Genomic DNA, 22,476 nt, shown 5'->3' with positions numbered 1-22,476 from the left:
CAATGAAATGAAGACAAAGAGTTATATAATTTTCACTTGGAGTTATGATTCCTCATATATTGAGTTTTATAGTCATTATTGATTGTGAAGCTCTAAAACTACACTTGTGTTATTTCCAAAGATGTACTGGTTAACAAAGCAAAGGAACCATTAAGACTTATTTGTAATTTACATAAAAAATAATTAATTCAAAGATAAAATAATTATCTTAAAGAGAATTAGATTAAAAAGACAAGAGAGGACTTCTGGTTCCAAAATAACAGTGTAGAAGCAAGCTGGCTTCACTTCTTTACAAAGAAAACCAAAACCAAATATACAGCACTGAAATTATCACCAACAATATCCCAGAAATCAAATACGAGGAGAAGACAGTTCCTGGATCCACAGAGATGGGAAAAAAACTCTAAGTAGGCAGTAAGAGAATTGGGTTTCCACATCTGCAATGCCCATTTCTCCAATTTGCCCAGCACCAAGAGTGCAAAAAATCTCCACCTGATTCATGATTTCTATACCAGAAAAGGTGACATCCAGGTTTCCCACCATCTGGGTTACCTGGCAGGAAACCTGTCCCTACCTCAACCCACAGGAAGCACTACATGTGCCTGAAGAAAGAAATACCCTGAGAAGAGTCAGAAACAAACAGGTGAGGTGGGACTACCATCCCCAGCCCTGGAAACTCTGGTCTGTAACTCAGCTAAAGGAGATGCCAAACCAGAGTGGTTGTTTAGTAGCACCACATTGCAGAAGATACATTGCACAGGACCCCTGGGCATGAATCTCTAGCCACCTTTCCCACACTGCCATGATATCTCCTTTGAGACTTTCCCTAATTGGAATGAGCAGCTCTCTTATTGTTTACTGGAGCCAAGGCAAACTTGGTCGTAAGGTGACATCTAGTGCCAAAAAGAAGGCAGCAACTTAGCCCCTCACCAAAAAAAAAAAAAAAAAAAAGAAAAAAAAAATTCGACAGGTAAATTACATAGAATCTATAACCAAATACATTCAATAAAAAACAAAAATAAGCCAGACAGAGAACACTGGAATAAATAACTAATCCTTCATTCAAAGACATCAATACAAGATATATATTTCTTGCACATCCAGAAGAAACTGCAGTCAACACAAAACCATGACCTCCCCAAATGGATAAAGCAAGGAACCAGTGACTGACCCTCATGAGATAGCCATATAAGAGCTCCCTGATCAAAAATTCAAACTAGTATTAATAGCTTTGAGGAAACTCAGAGATCTCCAAGGTAACAGAACACCAATTCAAAAATTTATTAGACAAACTTAACAAAGAGATTGAAATAATTTAAAAATCAAATAGAAATCTTGGAGCTGAGAAATATATTAGCTGAACTGAAAAATTCATTACAGCCTCACAATAGCAGAATGAATCAAGCAGAGGAAAGAATCAGGGAGCTTGAAAACCGGCTACTTGAAAATGCAGTCATAGGTGGAAAAAGAATAAAAAAGAATGAAGATCATCACCAAATATAGACAATTACCTCAAAAGACCAAATCCAAAAATTACTGGTGTTCAAGAGGGAGTTGAACAAGAGCAAGGGGTAGGAAGCTTATTCAAAGAAATAATAACAAAACTTTCCAAAATGCAACAGATATAAATATTCAGGTATAAGAGCATCAGGGCCGGGCGCGGTGGCTCACGCTTGTAATCCCAGCACTTTGGGAGGCCGAGGCGGGCGGATCACGAGGTCAGGAGATCGAGACCATCCTGGCTAACACGGTGAAACCCCGTCTCTACTAAAAAAATACAAAAAAATTAGCCGGGCGTGATGGCGGGCGCCTGTAGTCCCAGCTACTTGGGAGGCTGAGGCAGGAGAATGGCGTGAACCTGGGAGGCGGCGGAGCTTGCAGTGAGCCGAGATTGCGCCACTGCACTCCCGCCTGGGCCACAGAGCGAGACTCCGTCTCAAAAAAAAAAAAAAAAAAAAAAAAGAGCATCAGAGAACACCAAACATATTCAACCCAAATAAGGCTACACCAAAGCATAAAATAATAAAACTCTCAAAGCTCAAGGATAAAGAGAGGATCCTAAAAAGTAGCAGGAGAAAAGAAGTAATTAACATATAAAAGAGCTCCAATTCATCTGACAATTGACTCTCAACAGAAATCATATAGGCCAGGAGGAAGTGGGATAAATTTTCAAAGTGTTGAAAGAAAAAAAAAACCTGTTATCCAAGAACACTATATTCAGCAAAGGTACTTTTAAATATGAAGGAGTGATAAAGTATTTTTCAGATAAACAAAATCTGAGGATTCAACAGCAGCAGACCTGACTTACAAGAAATGCTAAAGCGAGTTCTTCAGAAGGAAAATAAAAAAATACAAAAAACCACATACACATTCAAAAAGAAAACTTTTCAAGGCATAAAATCCACTGGTAACATTAACAACATGGACAAAACCAGAATACTCTATTATTGTAATGATGGTGTGCAATCCATGCCTAACTCTGGTATGAAGCTGAAAGATAAACTCATAAAAAGCCGTAATAGCTACAGCAACCTATTAAGAGAAAGGTAATATAAAAATACACAAATTTAGATAATAAGCAGTTGAAATGTGGTGGGGATGGAGTTAAAGCATAGAGAATTTTTTTAAAATTTTTTCTTTGTTTCTATTCTTTACTTTGTGATCTAAGATAAGTTGTCACTTCTTTAAAATAGCTTATTGAGATCCACTCAAGGCAAAAAGAACTGGGAAGTCCCCACAGCTGTCTGCTGGGCAGAAAACCCTAGGCTATGGGTGCCACATCAGCTATACACCCACGGCAACACCGCCCTGCCTGGAGATCTCACACCCCTGACCTACTGCATCAACAAACCATCTGTAGGTCTACTGCACAATTAGCTCTGACTCCCAAGCACAGAGGATCAGCAGGCCTCCAGTGTGCTGTGGATCTCCTGGTGACCTAATCTTTGGCTCGAGCTGCCCCAAGGGAGGAGAGAGCACAGGCTGCCAGGGTTCCCCTTGGGGTTAAAGAGATGTGGGCATGGTGCCAGTGACTGGAGGGGGCTCCCCTAAGGCCTGGAAATGGACCTGGCAGGGGATCATCGCTACCCCTTCCCACCACCCCCACTGCTGCAAATGTGCTGGAATACAAAAGAGCCATGTGACTGAGAGTCTATTTGCCGGCCATTATTCTCAAGCACCATCTACTGGATTGAAGCCTAAATTACAACACCCCAAACTCTTCCAGTATACACTGCCTGTGAAATCCAGTGCCAGAATCTAGCCACAAGTATTAATAAATATCCCATACAGAGTGTTGGCCCTCTGAAAGCACCCAGAAATAAAGCCAACTGACTATACTCAGCTTATGCTACAGTCAAACCCACAAGGGATACAAAGAATATAAAAACAAAAAGCCTCATCGAAATGATAGCAAATTCAACAAGATAAAAGAACACGTGCCCTCTCAGAAGAGAAAGATTTAATGCAAGAACTTTGGCAATTCAAAAAGTCAGTGCCTCCTTATCTCCAAACAATTGTACTAGCTCGCCAGAAATTGTTCTTAACTAAATTGAGATGGCTGAAATGACAAACATAGAACTCAGAATCTGGGTGGTAAGGAAGCTTAATGAGATTCAGGAGACAGCTGAAACCTAATCCAAGGAATTTGGTAAAATGATCCAAGAGTTAAAAAGTTGACAAAGCCATTTTAAGAAACAAACAAACTGACCTTCTGGAATTGAAAAATTCACTACAGAAATTTCATAATACAGTTGGAAGCATTAACAACGGAATAGACCAAGATGAGGAAAGAATCTCAGAGCTCAAAGATTGGTCCTTCAAATCAATTCAGTCAGACAAAAATAAAGAAAAAAGAATTTCGGGCCAGGGGTGGTGGCTCATGCCTATGATCCCAGCACTTTGGGAGGCTGAGGTGGGAGGATCTCTTGGGGCCAGGAGTTTGAGACCTGCCTGGCCAACATGGTGAAACCCCATCTCTACTAAAAATACAAAAACTAGTGAGGCTTGGTGGCACGCGCTTGTAGTCCCAGTTACTCAGGAGGCTGAGGCATGAAAATTGCTTGAACCTGAGAGGTGGAGGATGTAGTGAGCTGAGATCACGCCACTGCACTCCAGCCTGGGCGACAGACCAAGACTCTGTCTCAAAAAAAAAAAAAAAAAAATTGAAAATGAACAAAACCTCCAAGAAATAAGAGATTATGTAAAGAGACCAAACCTATGACTCACTGGCATTTCTGAAAGAGAAGAAGAGTAAACAACTTGGAAAACATATTTGAAAATATAGTGCGCAAAACTTTTCCCAATCTCACTAGAGAAGTCAATAGGCAAATTTAAGAAATTCAGCAAAGTCCTGTGAGATACCATACAAGATGACCATCCTCAAGACATATAGTTAACAGATTCACCAAGGTCAATGCAAAAGAAAAAATCTTAAAGGCAGCTAGAGAGAAAGGTCAGCTTACTTACAAAGGAAATCCCATCAGGCTAGGAGTAGACCTCTCAGCAGAAACTTACAAGTGAGAAGAAACTGTGGACCTATTTTCAGCATTATTAAATAAAATAAACTCCAAACAATAATTTGATATTCTTCCAAAGAAAGCTTCATAAGCAAAGGAGAAATAAAATCCTTTTCAGACAATCAAAGCTAAGGAAATTCATGAGCACTAGACCAGTCTTACAAGAAGTCCTTAAGGAAGTGCTAAATGTGGAAATGAAAGAACAGTACCTGGCACCACAAAAACACAAGTACATGGCCCACAGACACCATAAAGGAGATACACAATCAAATCTACAAAGCAACCAGCCAACAATGTGATGACAGCATCAAAATCTCACATATTGATATAAACCTTGAAGGCAAATGGTCTAAATACCCAACTTAAAAGGCTTAGGATGGCAAAATGGATTAAAAAAATAAGGCCCAACCATATTCTGTCTTCAAGAGACCCATCTCACATGTAAGAACACCCACAGGCTCAAAGTAAAGGGATGGAGAAAGATCTATCATGCAAATGGAAAACAAAAGGAAAGCAGGGGTCACTATTCTTATATCAGATAAAACAGACTTTAAACCAACAATGATCTAAAAGGACAAAGTAGGGCATTACACAGTGACAAAGGGAAAAATTCAAAAAGAAGAGTTAACTATCTTAAATATACACACAGCTAACATTGGAGCACCCGGATTCATAAAACAAGTTCTTCTGGACCTATGAAAAGACTTAGTCACACAATAATATTGGGAGCCTTCAACACCCAACTGGCAGGATTAGAGAGATCATCAAAGCGAAAAATTAATTAATAAAGAAATTCTGGTCTTAAATTCAACACTTGACCAATTGGACTCAATAAATATCTACAGACTAGTCCACTCCAAAACCATAGGATATACAGTCTTCTTATCTGCACATGGAATATACTCTAAGATCGACTATATGCTCAGCCATAAAGCAAATCTGAAAAAGATTAAAAACACTGAAATCATCTCAAGCATACTCTCAGACCACAGTACAATAAAAACAGAAATTACTACCAAGAAGATCTCCCAAAACTACACAATTACTTGGAAATTAAACAACTTGCTCCTAAATGACTTTTGGGTAAACAAATGAATTCAGAAATCAAAAAAATTCTTTGAAATTAATGAAAACAGAGACAAAACAAATCAAAATCTTTGGGATGCAGCTAAAGCAGTGCTAAGAGTATAGTTTATAGTGCTAAATGCCTACATCAAAGAAGTTAGGAAGATCTTAAATGAACAACCTGATGTCTCACCTAGAGAAACTAGAAAAAAAGAACGAATCAATCCCAAACTAGCAGAAGAAAACAAATAACCAAAATCAGAGCAGAACTGAATGAAATTAAGATGGAAAAATGCATACGAAAGATCAACAAACAATTTTTTTTTTTTTGAGATGGAGTCTCGCTCTGTCTCCCAGGCTGGAGTGCAGTGACACAATCTCAGCTCACTGCAACCTCTGCCTCTTGGGTTCAAGCAATTCTCCTGTCTCAGCTTCCCAAGTAGCTGGGACTGCAGGTGCATGCCATCACACCTGGCTAATTTTTGTATTTTTAGTAGAGACGGGGTTTCGCCATATTGATCAGGCTGGTCTCGAACTCCTGACCTCAGGTGATCCACCCGCCTCGGCCTCCCAAAGTGCTGGGATCACAGGCATGAGCCACCGCGCCTGGTCTGTTTTTTGAAAGAATAAACAAAATTGATAGACTGCTAGCTAAACAACAAAAAAAGGAAAATCTAAGCCCAATCAGAAATGACAAAGATGACATTACAACTAATCCCACAGAAATATAAAAGATCTTCAGAGATTATTATAAATATCTATGCACACGAAAAATAGAAAATCTAGAGGAAATGAGTAAATTCCTGAAAACTCCCAAGATTCAACCAGGAAGAAATTCCTGTTCAAGAAAACCTGAACAGACCAATAATGAATTCCAAAAGTGAATCAGTAATAAAAATCCTACCAACCAAAAAAAGCCCTGGACCAGACGGATTCACAGCTAAAGTCTACCACATGTACAAAGAAGAACTGCTACCAATCCTACTGAAACCATTCCAAAAAATTCAAGGAGGAGGGACTCCTCTCTAACTCATTCTATGAAGCCATTATCAACTTGATACCAAAATCTGACAGAGACACAATGAAAAAAAAGTTCAAGCCAATATCCCCGATGAACATAGAGGCAAAAAAAAAAAAAAATCCTCAACAAAATACTAGCAAAACAAATGTAACAACACATCAAAAAGATAATGCACTATGACCAAGTGGGATTTATCCCCAGAATGCAAGTATAATTTGACATATGCAAATCAATAAATGTGATATATCAACAGAATGAATGACAAAAACCATATGAGAATCTTAATAGATGTGGAAGAAGCATTTGATAAAATTCAACATGCTTTCATGATAAAAAAAAAAAACTCTAAACAAATGAGGCATAGAAGGAACATATCTAAACACAATAAAGACGATATATGACAAACACACAGCTAAGATCATACTGAATGGGGAAAAGCTCAAAGCCTTTCTTCTAAGAACTGGAAAACAGGTCAAGAATGCCCACTTTTACCACTCTTATTCAGTATAATGTTGGATGTCCTAGCCATTGCAATTAGTCAAGAGAAAGAAATAAGGGGCATCCAAATTGGAAAAAAAGGAAATTAAATTGTCCTTCTTTGCATGTAACATGACTATATATTCATATATTCATATATATATGTATATATATATATATCCCCCAAAACTAATGACTCTACCAAAACACTCTAAGAACTAATAAACTAATTCAGTACAGTTGCAGGATACAAAGTCGACATACAAAAATCAGTGATATTTCTAGACTCCAATAACAAACTAGCTGAAAGGAAATAAAGAAGGTGATCTTATTTACAATAGCTATTAAAAAAAAAAAACACCTAGGATAAATTTAACCAAAAAAGTAAAAGACTTCTATGAGGAAAACTATAAAACACTGATGAAAGAAACGAAGAGGACAGAAACAAATGGAAATAATCCTATGCTAATGAATTGGAAAATGGAATACTATGCAGCCATAAAAAAAGAGTGACATCCTGTCATTCACAGCAATATGGACAAGTCTGGAGAACATTGCATTAAGCAAAACAAGGCAGGCACAGAAAGATAAATACTGCATGTTCTCATTTATATATGAGAGCTAAAAAATCAAACTCATGGAAGTCAAGAGTAGAACTGTGGGTATTAAAGATGATAAGGAAAGGTTGGCTAACAAATACAAAATTAAGCTAGATAGGAGGAATGAGCTCTGGTGTTCTGCATCACTGTAGGGCAAATATGGTTAATTATAATTTATTGTATATATTTAAAGAGCTAGGAAAGAAGATTTTTGATGTTCACAACACAAAGAAATGACAAATGTTTGAGGTGATGCATATGTTAACTACCTTGATCTGATCACTACACATTGTATACATATATCTAAATACCACTCTCTGTACCCCACAAATATGTACAATTATTACATGTCAACTAAAAATAAAAGGAAAAACAACATAGATGGAATCATTTTAACAGATAAAACTTGAGAATAAAAATAATCATAAAGGAAATATTGTAATCATCACATCTGATTCCTGTGTCTATCTCTTAGCTGGTTCCAAATTAAAAACAAAAGTAAAGGATTGTGAATTATTGACTCAAACTCAATTATATTATTATGTTTATTTTGCAAATGAGAAAACTAGATTTGAGAGAGGATGAGCAATTTACCCAAAGTCACCAAAATCTAAAGTATGTGGCAAAACAGGCAGTCAAACAGGGACCCCTCATTAACTCAGAAGTCTACATTTTTTCTCACATTCTTATGTGCTTGTCACTTATATTCATTAAAAACAGGCACATTCCATCAACATTCTCTAGTAAGAGTCTAAACACCCCGTGTAAGATACAGGGAAGGAAAAGGAAATGGAACTCACATTTTCTGTGTATCTATTATGTTCCAGACACTGTCCTAAGCCATTATTTACAATACATACTTTAATCCTCACAAACACCCCCAGGAACCTGCAGCAAGTTCGGTGAGAATCAGGTATCCAAAGCTCATGTGCTTTTGATTTACTAAGTTGCTTTTGAAGACCAAATATTAGTCTTCCAAATGATCAGGCTATTAAATGTAGTGTGTAAACACCAACAGCATCAGTGTATCTGCTTGATTCACACACTTACTGAACAGTTCTTTACGATGGCACAGAACACGACATCCACACATAGGAACACCCCTGTCCGGCCTATGCCGGCACTGCAGTGAACAACCATGGGTCCTGTAAGGTGGCTCTTCCTTGCATAACGAATATATTTTATGAAGCTATCTGCTGAGGCAGGAGTGCCATGGTCTGGCCACTTGGTGAACTGCAACTGTTTTACAGAGTGACTAGTTCCCGTCTGTTAGAGAAAGAAACAGAGCGAGAAAGACATTTATTGATTTCTTATATTAGAGACCTCACGCCAACTTCTAATATTCAAATGATAATAATAATGGCTATATGGTATTACCTTGGTATTATATAGAACTTTCAAAAAGTACTCAAACCTCTTTTTGATGTTTATAAGAATTCTGGAAGTTGCTAGGAATAGAGGTTTTCTCCATTTTACAAAGGAGAGCACAGTAACAACAATAAAAATACCAGTATTAACAGGTAACAAAAATTAAGCACTTGCTATGTGGCAGTTACTATGCTAGGGGCTTCACATGAATTCTCTCCTTTAATCTTCACATCAACCATGTGAGATAGGCACCATTTTATCTCCATTTTACAGATGAAAATTTAAGGATGAGGGGGACGAGAGATGTATGCTAGGTCAGAAGGTTCACACGTTTAGAGCTGGAACTGTAATGTAGGTGTCTTGAATTCTAATCTACCATCATTCTTCTGTACCATGAGGCTACAGGAAAACCAAGATTTCAAAATGCTTAGAGTGAGAGATGGACTGTCATGTTAGGAATAAGACCAAAAGGCAAAGTATCTTAGTTTAGAAATGACATATGAAATTTAATTAAGACATATAGGTGTCTGACAAGAGAGGCACCGATCTCTTCCAGCGATGAAGACAGGGTAGTCAATGACCATGAGAGTAGATTGTGGGTCCCACTATTGTGCTGAGCCCCCTTGAAGTGGAGTCATGAAACTCTTCCCAGCATTGTCAGATAAAGCACTTTGAATTTACCTATATCTCATCCAAAGGGATCATGACCCTTTCCTCAGTGTGGGGCCCTTATTTTATCACACATGGGACCCTAATGGAAGAACTCAAAATGAGTTTCTCACTTCTCCTATGCTTCTCCCGAATGCACCTCTTTTTCCTAAGCTTTCTGAATAAAGATGCTAGTGCTCAGAGCTCTATTCTAATCCACAGTGTCGACTGAAATTTGTGATAGTTAATTTTATGTGTCAACTTGGCTGAGCCCTGGTATCCAGATACTAGGCCAAATATTATTTTGTGCCTCTGTGAAGGTATTTTTTAGGTGAGATTAACATTTAAATTGGTAGAATTTGAGTAAAGCAGGTTATTCTCCATAAAGTGGGTTGGCTTCATCTAATCAGCTGAAGGCCTTAAGAGAACAAAAACTGACCTCCCATGAGCAAGAAGGAATTCTACCAGCAGATTGCTTTTGGACTCAAACTCCAATTCTTCCCTGGGTCTTCAGCCTACTTTCCCACCCTGCAGATTTGCCAACCCTCCACAATCACTTGAACCAACTCCTTAAAATTAATCTCTCTCTCTGGATCAGTCCCATAACCTGTATTCAGGGATCTCAATGTTATACTGCTAGAAAAATACACATAATCACATATTTTGTTGCTACTACAAATGTATGGGTCAAACCTCAGCATCACTCAGCAACCCTTTTCCTGGTGATTGTGCTCCAATCAACTTCTTTGGTGATGACTCCAAAACTCACCATTCTCTGCAAGTTTCCTGTTCAACTCCTATTCCCTTCACTCGTGTTAACACATGTATCACCTACCTGCCAACTGAATCCACTAGAGCAATCTAACTCATTGCTTTCTCCTATAAACCATTCCTTTTCTGTTTTCTAAGTCTATTAGACCAAGGAATCCATGAATTATTCTAGACCAATGCTTCTCAACAGAACTTCCTATACTGAAGCAAATGTCTTAAATAGTGGCAATATAGTAGCCACTATCAACATGCCACTCATAAGCCCTAAAATGTGGCTACTTGCAGGTGAGGAACTCAATTTGTTATTTTACATAAATTTAAATAACTTAAATTTAAACTTAAATATCCACATGTGGTTACTGTATTGAATATATTTTCAACCCCTCCTCTGTCACTTATAAATCATAAGTCATAAGTCACATATGTCTCCCAATTTTATCTGCAAAACACTTGCGTCTGTGCTTTCCACCCCCATGCCAACAGCCGTAGTTGATCATGTCACTTACTAAAATTCTTCAATGTCTCCCAATTATCTTCATAATAAAGTTCATGCTACTTAGCTGAAATTTAAGACATTTCACATTCTAGCTGGCCCCTGCTTACTTTTGAGAACCTCATCTCATCTTTTATTACTCCCTGGCACTGAACTTTTACATTTCAGAAACACTTAACTACTTATATTTGTCTCTACACACACCTTATGCTATTTTATATTTTGATCATCTACTTTCTCCCTCCATCTTTTTCATTTGCATAATTCTCAAAACAAATGCCACCTCCTCCAGTAAACCTGTCTCAAAACCCCAAGTAAAGCCAAGTGTTTACCTTCTGAGCCCCAAAGTGCCCAAGACATATCTCAACATTATCACTGAACACGGTAAGTTAGGTATCTATCAGTGAGTGTAACCAACCTCTCCACTATTCGGTAAGTACTGATAGTGCCTGGCCCAGTGATTAGCATACTTTAAGGACTCAATACGTATCTGCTACATTTGGCAGAGGCAGGTATAACCCAGAATCAGACAACTTCAACAGTCACTCTCCCTGCCCCACCTCTCTTTTCCAATTTTTTCTTCTCCACAGAATCTGGTTGAGGAGAAGTAGAAGTGGTGGTGGCTTCTGGTACCAGGGACAAGTAAAAAGTTACTTAAGAAGTATCATCGATCGATTTTCCATCCTACTCCTAACTTCTAGTTCTAAGACATCTGCTTATGTGGTGAAACATATATCTAATACTGATGTTTAAAAACTTACGGACTTCTCCACAACTTGAAACATTCGAATGATGAAATATTGAAGTATCTGGTAGTTCTCCAGGAATACACGGAAGTGTTTCAATTCCAATGGCTTCTTCAGAGAAATGGGCCAGTAATGGTAGCATTTGATAATTCCACCTTCTATCTCTCTGGTTATCATGGCAATAACATTTGAATTATTTTCCAACACCATTTGCCAAAAGTCATCTATGGTGCTCAGCAGTGGTCCTTGAGTAGCGATATAAAAATACTCTTCTCCACAATTGACTATTCTAATATAACTAGCATTGATGTAGTCCTTGCTTTTTCCAAGAGGAACGCGTGTTGAATCATCTATTACAGAAACAGAAACATCTGGTAGATAAAGGTGGGAGATACATCACACCCAGACTTCACGAAAGGATTTCACACATGTAAATCCATATATCTCTTTGACCAATAGAGAAGATGGCCTAGGAGTTTCTTTTCAAAATGGTTGAGTCCATGAGTTTAAATTATTTCCTCCCTGAAAACTATTGGCATGACCTAAGAAATATACAATTATGGGATGTTTATTTTTCAAATCAGTTTTTAATAAATGCAGAATGATATCATTAGCATCCAGGTACTTTTGGAAATTTCTGCTAGAAGTGGCATGGGCAAGGTTAAGTCAAGGGAAGTATCCTATAGTTTGCAACTGAACACAACAGAGGAGAAACTCTTTGTGGGAGTAAATGAGTGATATTATCCTGCAAATCTGAAACCTGCAAACCCAGAGCAGCAGGGGCCAGGGGAAAAAAAAAATCTGATAGTTGACTGCAGACAAATTCTAGGATTAATGGAATTCCACCACTGTCCCCAAACTAGACAGCCATATTTTATGTCCATTCTCAGCCTTCATCTGGTGATAGGACATGTTATTCAAAGCAAAGATATTGTGGCAAAAGGATGCTACCAAGGGAAATTGCTCCAAGTAATATGGGACTCATCTAACATGGACTGTTATAACAAATATGAGAGGGAAAACCAGCTATTTGGCCTACTAACCTTCACTGCTCCAGGAGTTCCTTCTTCACCTGACACAGACATCTGAAGCTCTGGTTCCACCACCATCCCCACAGTGAGAGCAGAAACACACACAGCAAAGGAGGCCCTTCTCTGCCATGCAGCTCTCTCACCAATAACCTCTCCTTACTACTCAGAATCACATGGACCACTTATCTAGTAAATATGCTGACAAGACCTGAACAGGCATTTATATAATATCTGGCAGAACTCTTCTCAAATTTTAACATAGCACACAGAAACTTTCCCTTGTAAATATGAATGAACAGAAAAAATCAGCCAGGCGCGGTGGCTCACATCTATAATCCCAGTTACTCAGGAGACTGAGGCAGGAGAATCGCTTGAACCAGGGAGGCGGAGGCTGCAGTGATCTGAGACCGCGCCACTGTACTTCAGCCTGGGTGACAGAATGAGTGAGACTCCATCTCAAACAAAAAAAAAAAAAAAAAAAAAGCTAGATATATAAAGATACCCGGTATTTCAAAAAGGGAGACCATTCTAAAAAATCACAACAAATATTCTCCTTTCTATAAAAGATGATAACACCTTAAAAACTCCTATTTGTATATTAAATAAAATTCAAGAGAGCATTAATTATTTAAAACAATACTTTATACCTATGTTTACTAACAAATATGTTATATTACTAAATTATAAAGGTGATAACAATGGCTTTGTAGGGAGATCTTTCATCATATTTATGTAGATATATGATGATATATGTCATATAATAATAATAAGCCTGGCAAGTGTTCATCACAATGTTAGCAGTAGTTATTACAGTATCTAAACCATATAAATTACTTCATAGTAAAAAAAGCATTTTTTAAATTTTGAAATGAGATTAAATATGTGAAAATTAAATAATCTAAAATAATAAAAGCTTGATTTCATATAAAAGTCACAATCATTCAACTCAAACTCCTAAAGCAGGAATTGAACAGAAAAACAAATTTATGTTTAGAAAATCAGCTTAAAAAATTTTCCCAGAACTCAGAAAAAAAAGATTAAAAAAACCTACAATAATGATTAAAATGGTAAAAGACACAGCGCATACAAGGGGAATGTAAAAAACGAATTTCAGAAGCAAACTGTGGAATTCACTGCAGAAAAGAAATAATTCAAGTGATCATAGGAAAGCTCCCTAAACAGAAGCAGGAGTACTAACAGAATGCAGTGAAACATGCATACCAGGTTCAAGCAGCATGATACGCTACATGTATCACCTTGTCAACTCCAAAACAAACCTTTGAGGGAGGTGCTATTATATTCATACTTTTCAAATAAAGAATCTGTACAAAGTAACTTGTTCCATATTATGCAGCAATCTTCTAGACTCCACAGACTAGGTAAATCTAGACTCTGGTCCAAAAATAATTCCATGCTCTGTTGTCCATCAAGGAAGACTCAAGTTTGCAGACAGAAAGGCCTAAGTGTCAGACAACATTAATGAAGAGAGCCACTAAGACCCCTAGACCAGCAGAGCATAAGGCCACAGGAACAGGAACAGGAAGCAAAAATTATGCTAATGGATGACTAGGGGTAATGGCAACTGGTGCCACTCCCATTTCCACCCCTTGATTCTTGAATCTTGGCTATGGTAGAAACAGCATCATATATTGGATGCTGACATGGGGCATGTATAATCTCCTGAAGAACATTACCCCAGCCCTGCAAGGTACTGCCACCTAGCTTTCACTGTAATTGAGTCTTCAAAAGGCCATTCATCCATTCTGTCAAGCCAGCCGCTTTGAGAGGATAAGGAATATGGTAACATAGTGGCAATGAGGCCATTGCCACAAGGTATTTGCCACAAAGTGAGTTCTTTGATTACAGCAATGCTGTATGGAATACCATGATGGTGGATAAGGCATTCTGTAGGTCCACAGATGGTAAATTGGTGGGAGCACTGTGTGCAGGGAAGGCAAATCCATACCCAGAGTTACTGTCTATTCTAGTAAGAAAAAAGCACTGCTCCATGCATTATGGAAGTGGTCCCAGTGTAATCAACCTGCCATCAGCTAGCTGGCTGATCATCCCATGGAATAGTGCCCATCAGGTACTCAGTGTTGGTCTCTGTTGCTGGCAGATTGGACACTCAGTAGCAGCTGTAGCCAGGTCAGCCTTGGTGAGTGGAAGTCCATGTTGCTGAGCTCATACATAACCTCCATCCCTGCCATTATGGCCACTTTGTTCATGAGACCTATGGGCAATGACACAATGACAGGGGTGACTGGGGGTATAGTCTAGCTGATATTCATAGAGCATGTCACTCTATTCACTTGATTATTAAAGTCTGCCCCTGCTGAGATCAACCTTTGGTGAGCATTCACATGGGATACAAATATCTTTGTGTTTGTGCCTATCTAGCAAGATCTATTCACGTGCCTCTTCCCCAGACCTTATTGTCACCAATTTTTCCAACCATGTTCCTTCAAATTCCCTGACCATCCAGCTAAGCCATTAAACATAGCCCATGAATCAGTACACATTTATACGTCTGGCCATTTCTCCAAGCAAAAAACAAAAAAACAAAAAGCACCAAGTGCACTACCCAATGTTCTGCCCACTGGGAGTTATTTCTCTTCACCACTGTCCTTCAGAGATGTCTCAAAAAAGGGGCTGTAGTGCTATAGCTGTCCTCTTCTGGCTGGTACCTTTATATCACGCAGAACCTTCTGTAGACCAGGTCCAAGTCTTCTCTTCTTCTGTCAGCTGATCATAGGCAACTCCTCATGAGACAACAGGTGCTGGCTGAAGAGAGCAGGTAATGTAGCAGGGGTGGGAACAGTGAGCATTTGGGCAGCTTCTTCGTGTAACTTATTTGTGCCTTCAGGATCTGCTCAAGCCCAATGTTGTATCTACCACTTTCATTTGATGGTGGAGTGCTGCTGTGTATGCCCAACTTTATGGCTTGGTGGCCCATAGTTAAGCATTCTCTACTTAGTTCTCTATGAAGCAGTCTCTACCAAGGCCCAGTAGCAGGCCAAAAGCTGTTTCTCAAAAAGAGAGTCCAGAGAGGGTGGCAGGAATTTGCTCTAAAATCCTACGTGCCTGCACTGTGATTCATCTAAAGGGGTCTGCCAAAGGTCCAAACAGCACCCTTATCTGCCAATGACACTTCAAGCACCACTGGATCTGCTAGATCATACAGCCCACGTGGCAGAGAGGCTTGCATGGCAGACTGATCCTGTTTCAGAGCCTTCTCTTGTTTTGGGCCCCACTCAAAACTAGCAGCTTTTCACATCACTTAGTAAATGGACCAGAGTAGCACATCAAAATAAGGAATGTTTCCTCCAAAACGCCCTGGTTCACTAGCCATTGTGCCTCTTTTTTGCTTGTAGGAAGAGCCAGATACAATTTATCCTTCACCTTATGATTATCTCCACATGTCCCACAACACTGGACCTCTAGAAATTTCACTGAAGTAGAAGGCCACTGAATTTTTGTTGGATATATCTCCTACCCTCTGACAGACAAATAAGACTAAAGCATTTGCTACTTCTTGTTCACTAGATCCAATCAGCACAATGTCATCAATGTAATAAACCTCTGTAATATCCTGTGGAAGGGAAAGGTGATTGAGATCCCTGAGAACTAAATTACAACATAGGGCTGAAGAGTTAATACACCCCTGAGGTAGGACAGTGAGGGTGTATTGTTGGCCCTGCCAGCTGAAAGTAAACTACTTTTGGTGTTCTTGATTAATAGGTATAGAGAAAAAAGCATTTCCCAGATCAATAGCTACATAGCAGGTATGAAGAGATGTGCTGATTTTCTAAGGCAATGAAACTATATCTGGTATAGCAGCTGCAACTAGAGTCACCATCTGAGGAAGCTTACAATAATCCACTGTCATTCTCCAAATTCCATCTCTTTTTTGTGTAGGTCATATAGGTGAGTTGAATGGGATGTGATAGATATCAACATCACTTCATCCTTAAAGTCCTTGATGGAGGCATTAATATCAGCAATCTCTTCAGGAATGTAGTATTGCTTTTGCTTTTTTACTATTTTCCTAGGTAGAATCAGTTCTACTGGCTTCCACTGGCCCTTTCCTGCCATAATATTCCTCACTCCACAGGTCAGAGAAGCAATGTGGGGATTCTACCAGTTTCTGAGTATGTTTATTCCAATTATTCATTCCAGGGCTTGGAAAATAATCACAAGATGGTTTTAGGGACCTACTGAGTCCACTGTGAAATGAACTTGAACTAAAGCTCCATTGACTATATGACCTCCATAAGCCCCTGCTTTGATTTGTAGACCACAGTGATGTTTTGGGTCTCCTGGAATTGGTGTCAGTTCAGAGCCAGTGTCCAGTAGTTTCTGAAAGTTCTGACTATTTTCTTTTTCCAAATGTACAGTCACCCTGGCAAAAGGCTATAGATCCCTTTGGAGAAGGCTGAAAGATTAACAGTATACATTTTTAGCAGTGTGCCAGGGTCCTCCCTTTCATTCAAGGTGTTCTCTGTGTGTAAACTGGCTCAAGTCTGGGAAGTTATTGACTGGTTGTGATTCTCTGTTCCTATGGTTCAGGTTAGAATTTTGCTCACTTGACCTAGAACTCTTCTGCTTACACCTATCAAGGAAGAATTCAGTAGACGTCCCATCTAGTTCACTTCTAGGAACACCATGATCAACTAATCAACACCACAGGTCTCTACAGGTCAGACTGTTCTGATTGCTGCTTTGACTCTGCTATTACCATACCATGCTCACCTTGCCTTTGGCTATCAAGTGCCACCACCTGGCCCTTATCTCTCTGGGATCCAATTATACCCACTGCATTCAGGTTTCCCAACTCAGTGGCAGCAATTTCCACTGCAATATCTGAACTACAGAGAAGAACAATCACAGTATTCTTCAAGGATTCTGGGACTCACCTCACAAATATATTTCTCACAGTTATGAGAAAAGTACATCCTCTGGACCTCCTGGGGTGGGTTGGCAGGTCTTAAATGATAAACCTAATCTAATATTCCAATCTCCCTAATCCTTTGGATCACAGTATATAGTATATCGAGGCAGTTCTGGCATTTTATCTTCATTTAGACTGGGCCACCTTTTGGTCCATTTAATACAACCAACCAAATAAACTGTAAGAGCTCTTTCTAACTCCCTAATCCACATATTAAGTCCAGAATCTCTTCTTTGTGGTCCCATTTCAATAAATTCAGCCTGATCAAACACTAAGTTCCTTCCACCATTGTCCCACACCCTTAAAATCCCTCCCCACAAATATTTCCCAGATTTCTGTCAGTATAAATTGGAAAAATCATGTAGCTCTTTTGTAGTGTAACATACCTCCCCATGGGTCACACTTTGTACCTTACCTTTAAGGGCCTGCTGGGACTTGAGTCTAGTTATAGGTCTAGAAGCAATGAAGGATGGTAGCTGTGAGTCTTGAGAAGAATCAGCAATGTCTTGCAAGGCAACAAACTCAGGGGAGGTAATAAAAGTTTCCTCAGGTAAAGTAGCATTAATCTCCTCAGATGGGGGTGGCATGGCTGCTTTTACTGGCAAGGAAGACTCATCAGGGTCAAGGGGTTCGATACACCCAGCTTTATAAGGCTCTTCACATATGTCTGCACTCCAGTTTTCAAGATCCCATTCCTTCTCAGTTAATGCCCTCATTTTAACAGCAGACACCCTAAAAGGGTGGGGATTCAATTTGCACTGTAATTCAGCCATTTTCAGGATGAGATTTTGGGTTTGGTTTTCAATAATCTCAGCTTTGTTGTTATAAAATATAAGAGTTTCTTTCAGGGCAGAAAGAGAAACTTTTGGGTTATTCATGCGGCACTTGAGCTGGGAAATTTAATCCCTAAGATCATCCTTTCCTTCTCTACATTAGGAGTAACTAGCCAATCTCATTGTTCTCATGAGAACTCAAAAATGTTCTAAGGTATCAAATACAGATGCCCAGAACCTTGCTTCTTGTAAATGTCTGAATAGGATTACCTAATGGCAATACTTTGCATATCTCTACTGTCACATTACACTATGAATTATTAATACTCTATTCACTACTGAAAAGTCATTAATGCCTTTACATCTTATCAGATTAGGGAAGTAATTCATAAAACTCATCCTTAAAATTCTGTTCCTCTAGAATTGCTCTCAGTACCAAATTCTGTTACTCTAGATTCTCTAGATAAATAGAATCAATAGGCTGTATATATACAGTGAGAAAGATTTATTTTAAAGAACTGACTCATGATTGTGGGGACTGGCAAGTCAATATCTGCAGGGCAGGCCAGCAGGTTAGACCCCAGGGAAAAGTTGACATTGTAGTCTTGAGTGCAAAGGCAGTCTGGAGGTAGAATTCCTTCTTCCTCTGGAAATTTTAGCGTTTTTTTCTTAATGACTTCAACTGACTGAATAAGGCCCACTCTCGTTATGGAGGCTAATCAGCTTTACTCAAAGTCTGCTAATCTAAATGTTAATTACATCTTTTAAAAAATACCTTCACACCAACATCTAGACTAATATTTGACCAAATAGCTGAGTATCATAGCCTAGCCTAGTTGACACATGAAATTAACCATTAAACAAGCTAAAAATTTTAGTAGATGATTTGAAGGAGGAAATTTTTTAAAAACTTATATTAGTTTCCTATAAAACCAAGTGAAAGAAAAAAATAAGAATAAAAATGAGAGAGAGAGAGAGATAGAGAAAGTACTTGCAAAACTACAGAGGTAAAAGAAGTAACGAGAAAAGGTTTTATAAGATAGAACCAAGAGGCAACCCTAAAATTCATAGAAACTAAAAAAAAAAAAAAAAAAAGACAAGAGTAGACTGAAGAGTAGAAATTACAACTAAAGGAAGATCAATTAAAGGGTTTATTTGTCTAGGTAAGAATGATGGAAATGAAGCATACCTGGTAACATTATTTAATTCCAGGAAAATAGTTAAAGATTTTGAAATAAAAGAGCATATTTCTCATGAAGAAAAGGAGTCAGATGGCCATTACAGTTCTCATCTAAAACACTGGAAGGAAGAGGACAGTGAAGTAACACTCAGGGAAAAAAAATGAGAAAAAAAAGAACTAAAACCCAAGATTCCTAAAACCAACAAGGATATTCGTTTATCAGGATAAAAAAAAAAAAAAAAAAAAGTAGAGCTTGAGACTGCATCAACTACTTATACCCATCTCCAATCAAACAATTAATTCATCAGAACAGTGATTTCAAATTAAGGGAAAAGGGAAAGAAAATGAAGTAATAGCAACAAATACTACAAAACATAGTTTCATATCTATAAGAAGAATGACGAGAGCCAGGCATTCCAGCTACTTGGGAGGCTGAGACAGAAGGATCACTTGAAGCCAAGAGTTTGAGACCAGCCTAAGCAAAAGCGTGAGTCCCTGTTTCTAAAAAAAAAATAAATGAATAAAAAATTAGCTGGGTATGGTGGCACATGCCCATCCCCATAGTCCCAACTACTTGGGAAGCTGAGGTGGGAGGATTGCTTGAGCTCAGGAGTTTGAGGTTTCGGTGAGCTATGATTATGCTACTGCACTCCAAGTAGACTCTGATTCTTAAAGAAACAAAACAGCTCTGTGCGGTGGCTCATGCTTATAATCCCAGCACTTTGGGAGGCCGAGGTGGGTGGATCACCTGAGGTCAGGAGTTCGAGACCAGCCTGACCAACATGGAGAAAACCCATCTCTACTAAAAATACAAAATTAGCCAGGTGTGGTGGCACATGCCTGTAATCCCAGCTACTCAGGAGGCTGAGGCAGGAAAATCGCTTGAACCCAGGAGGCAAAGGGTGCGGTGAGCTGAGACTATGCCACTGCACTCCAGCCTGGGCGACAGCGAGACTCCATCTCAAAAGGAGAAAAAAAAAAAGGTTTCTTGAAATAGGAAAGAAAACAATGTACAATAAATACAGTGGTGGTTAGGCCTGGGTTTGAATCCCAGATCTCTCTCCTATTTGCAGTGTGAAAGTGAGAAAATTACTTATCTCTTTTAGCCTTTCTGTAAACAAGGACACTAACATACTGACACCTTAGAGGTAGGTTGTTGTGGGGATTAAACATTACTACCTATAACAGACTTAAATTAGTAATAAGCAATAGTAATAAACATATTAGTGTTACTACTACTATTATTATTAGTGGGTGGTAGTAGCAGAAACAAACATAGAGCAACCTCAAGAAGTACAGAAAGAAGCTTGTTAAATCTCTGCCTTGAAGAGCTTGTTTTCCCATCTATCTATATTATAATGCTGAAGTGTATGAAAATTTTTTAAAAGTGTAATATACCTTTTGCACTCACAAACCACCTTTTTAACAGTTTATGGAGGTAAAACTGTCATACATGTGCACCCATGAGACCACCACCACAATAAAGATAATTAAACATCTCCATCAGTGCAAAACTATCCTCATGCCTCTTTATAATCTATCCTTCTTGCTCTCATCTTGCCCCAAGGCAACCACTGAGACGTTCTGTCAATACAAATTAGTTTAAATTTTCTAACATTTTATATATGTGGAAGCATACAGTATATTAGTTTTCTAGGTTTGAAATTTATTTTCACATTCTGGAGGCTGGAAGTCCAGTATTGTTATGGTTTGGATGTTTGTCCTCTCCAAACCTTATGTTGAAAACTGATCCCCAACATTGGAAGTGGGGCCTAATGGGAGGTTTTGAGTCATGGAGACAAATCACTCATGAATAGATTGATGCCCTTCCTCAGGGTTGAGTGAGTTCTCACTCTATTCACTGCCGCAAAAACCGATTATTAAAAAGGACCAGGCACCTCTCTCTCTCCCTCTTGTGTCCTCTTTCACCATGTAATCTCTGCACATGCTGATTCCACTTCACCTTCTACCATGAGTGGAAGTAGCCTGAAGCCCTCACTAGAGGCCCAATCTTGAACCTTCCAGCCAGCAGAACTGGGAATTAAATAAACCTCTTTTATTTATAAATTAACCAGCCCCAAGTATTCCTTTATAGCAATACAAAATGGAATAAGACAGAAAATTGGTACTGAGAATTGGGGTGTTGCTATAAAGATACCTGAAAATGTGGAAGCAGTTTTGGAACTGGGCGATGAGCGGAGGTTGGAAGTGTGTGGAAGGCTCAGAAAAAGACAATAATATGAGAGAGTGTCTGGAAAAAGTGCCCAAAGGCACTTCAGAAATATTTGGGGCCACCCCTTCCCTAATAGGCCCAAGGCCTTCTGGGGACAGACCTGGAGCACCACTGCCCTTGGCCACCTCAGGATGCTGCTCCCCACATCCTGGCTGCTCTGGCTCCAGCAGTGGGTCAAATGGCCCCAGGTAGGGTTTGGGCCACTGCTCCTGAGGGGCTAAGTGGTAAGCCTTGGTGGCATTCATGTGGTGTTAAGTCTGCAGGCATCCAGAATGCAAGGGACATGGAGGCTTGGCAGCTTTAACCTAAATTTCAGAGAATATATTAAAAAGCCTGGGAAAGCAGGCAGATGCCTATTGCAGGAGTGGAGCCACCAAAGAGAGCCCCTACCAAGGCAATCTTTAGTGGAAATGTTGGGTTGGAGTTTCCTTAGAGTCCCCACCAGGGCAACTCTTAGTGGACCCACAAAGGTGCTGGAACCCCACAATAGTAGAGCTATCCACAGCATTCCACCTCAGCCTGAAAAAGCTGCAGCATTATTACAACCCATGGAAGCAGCCAGTGGTCTACGCCCAGCAAAGCTATGGGGGAAGGGCTACTCAA

General features: G+C 39.1%; 1 protein-coding gene across 93 annotated transcripts in view; it reads right to left on the bottom strand.

Annotated features, from left to right (window-relative positions):
- The window catches only part of PTPN20 (protein tyrosine phosphatase non-receptor type 20), a 92,226-nt gene that overhangs the window by 7,369 nt on the left and 62,381 nt on the right, over positions 1-22,476 (bottom strand). For 25 of the 93 annotated variants that reach the window (NM_001042357.5, NM_001352527.2, NM_001352521.2 and 22 more), the window contains 2 exons: positions 11,721-12,055; positions 8,730-8,945 (listed from right to left, as the gene is read on the bottom strand). The exons of 48 other annotated variants lie outside the window; for them this stretch is intronic. In NM_001042357.5, the coding sequence (NP_001035816.1) occupies positions 8,730-8,945; positions 11,721-12,055 (551 nt within the window). 20 more of the 93 variants (NM_001352543.2, XM_047425013.1, NM_001352522.2 and 17 more) reach the window with 10 other exon arrangements.

This window comes from Homo sapiens, chromosome 10 (assembly GCF_000001405.40).
Source record: "Homo sapiens chromosome 10, GRCh38.p14 Primary Assembly".
Classification (NCBI taxonomy): Eukaryota; Metazoa; Chordata; class Mammalia; order Primates; family Hominidae; genus Homo; species Homo sapiens.
This window is presented reverse-complemented; position numbering and strand designations above follow the sequence as displayed.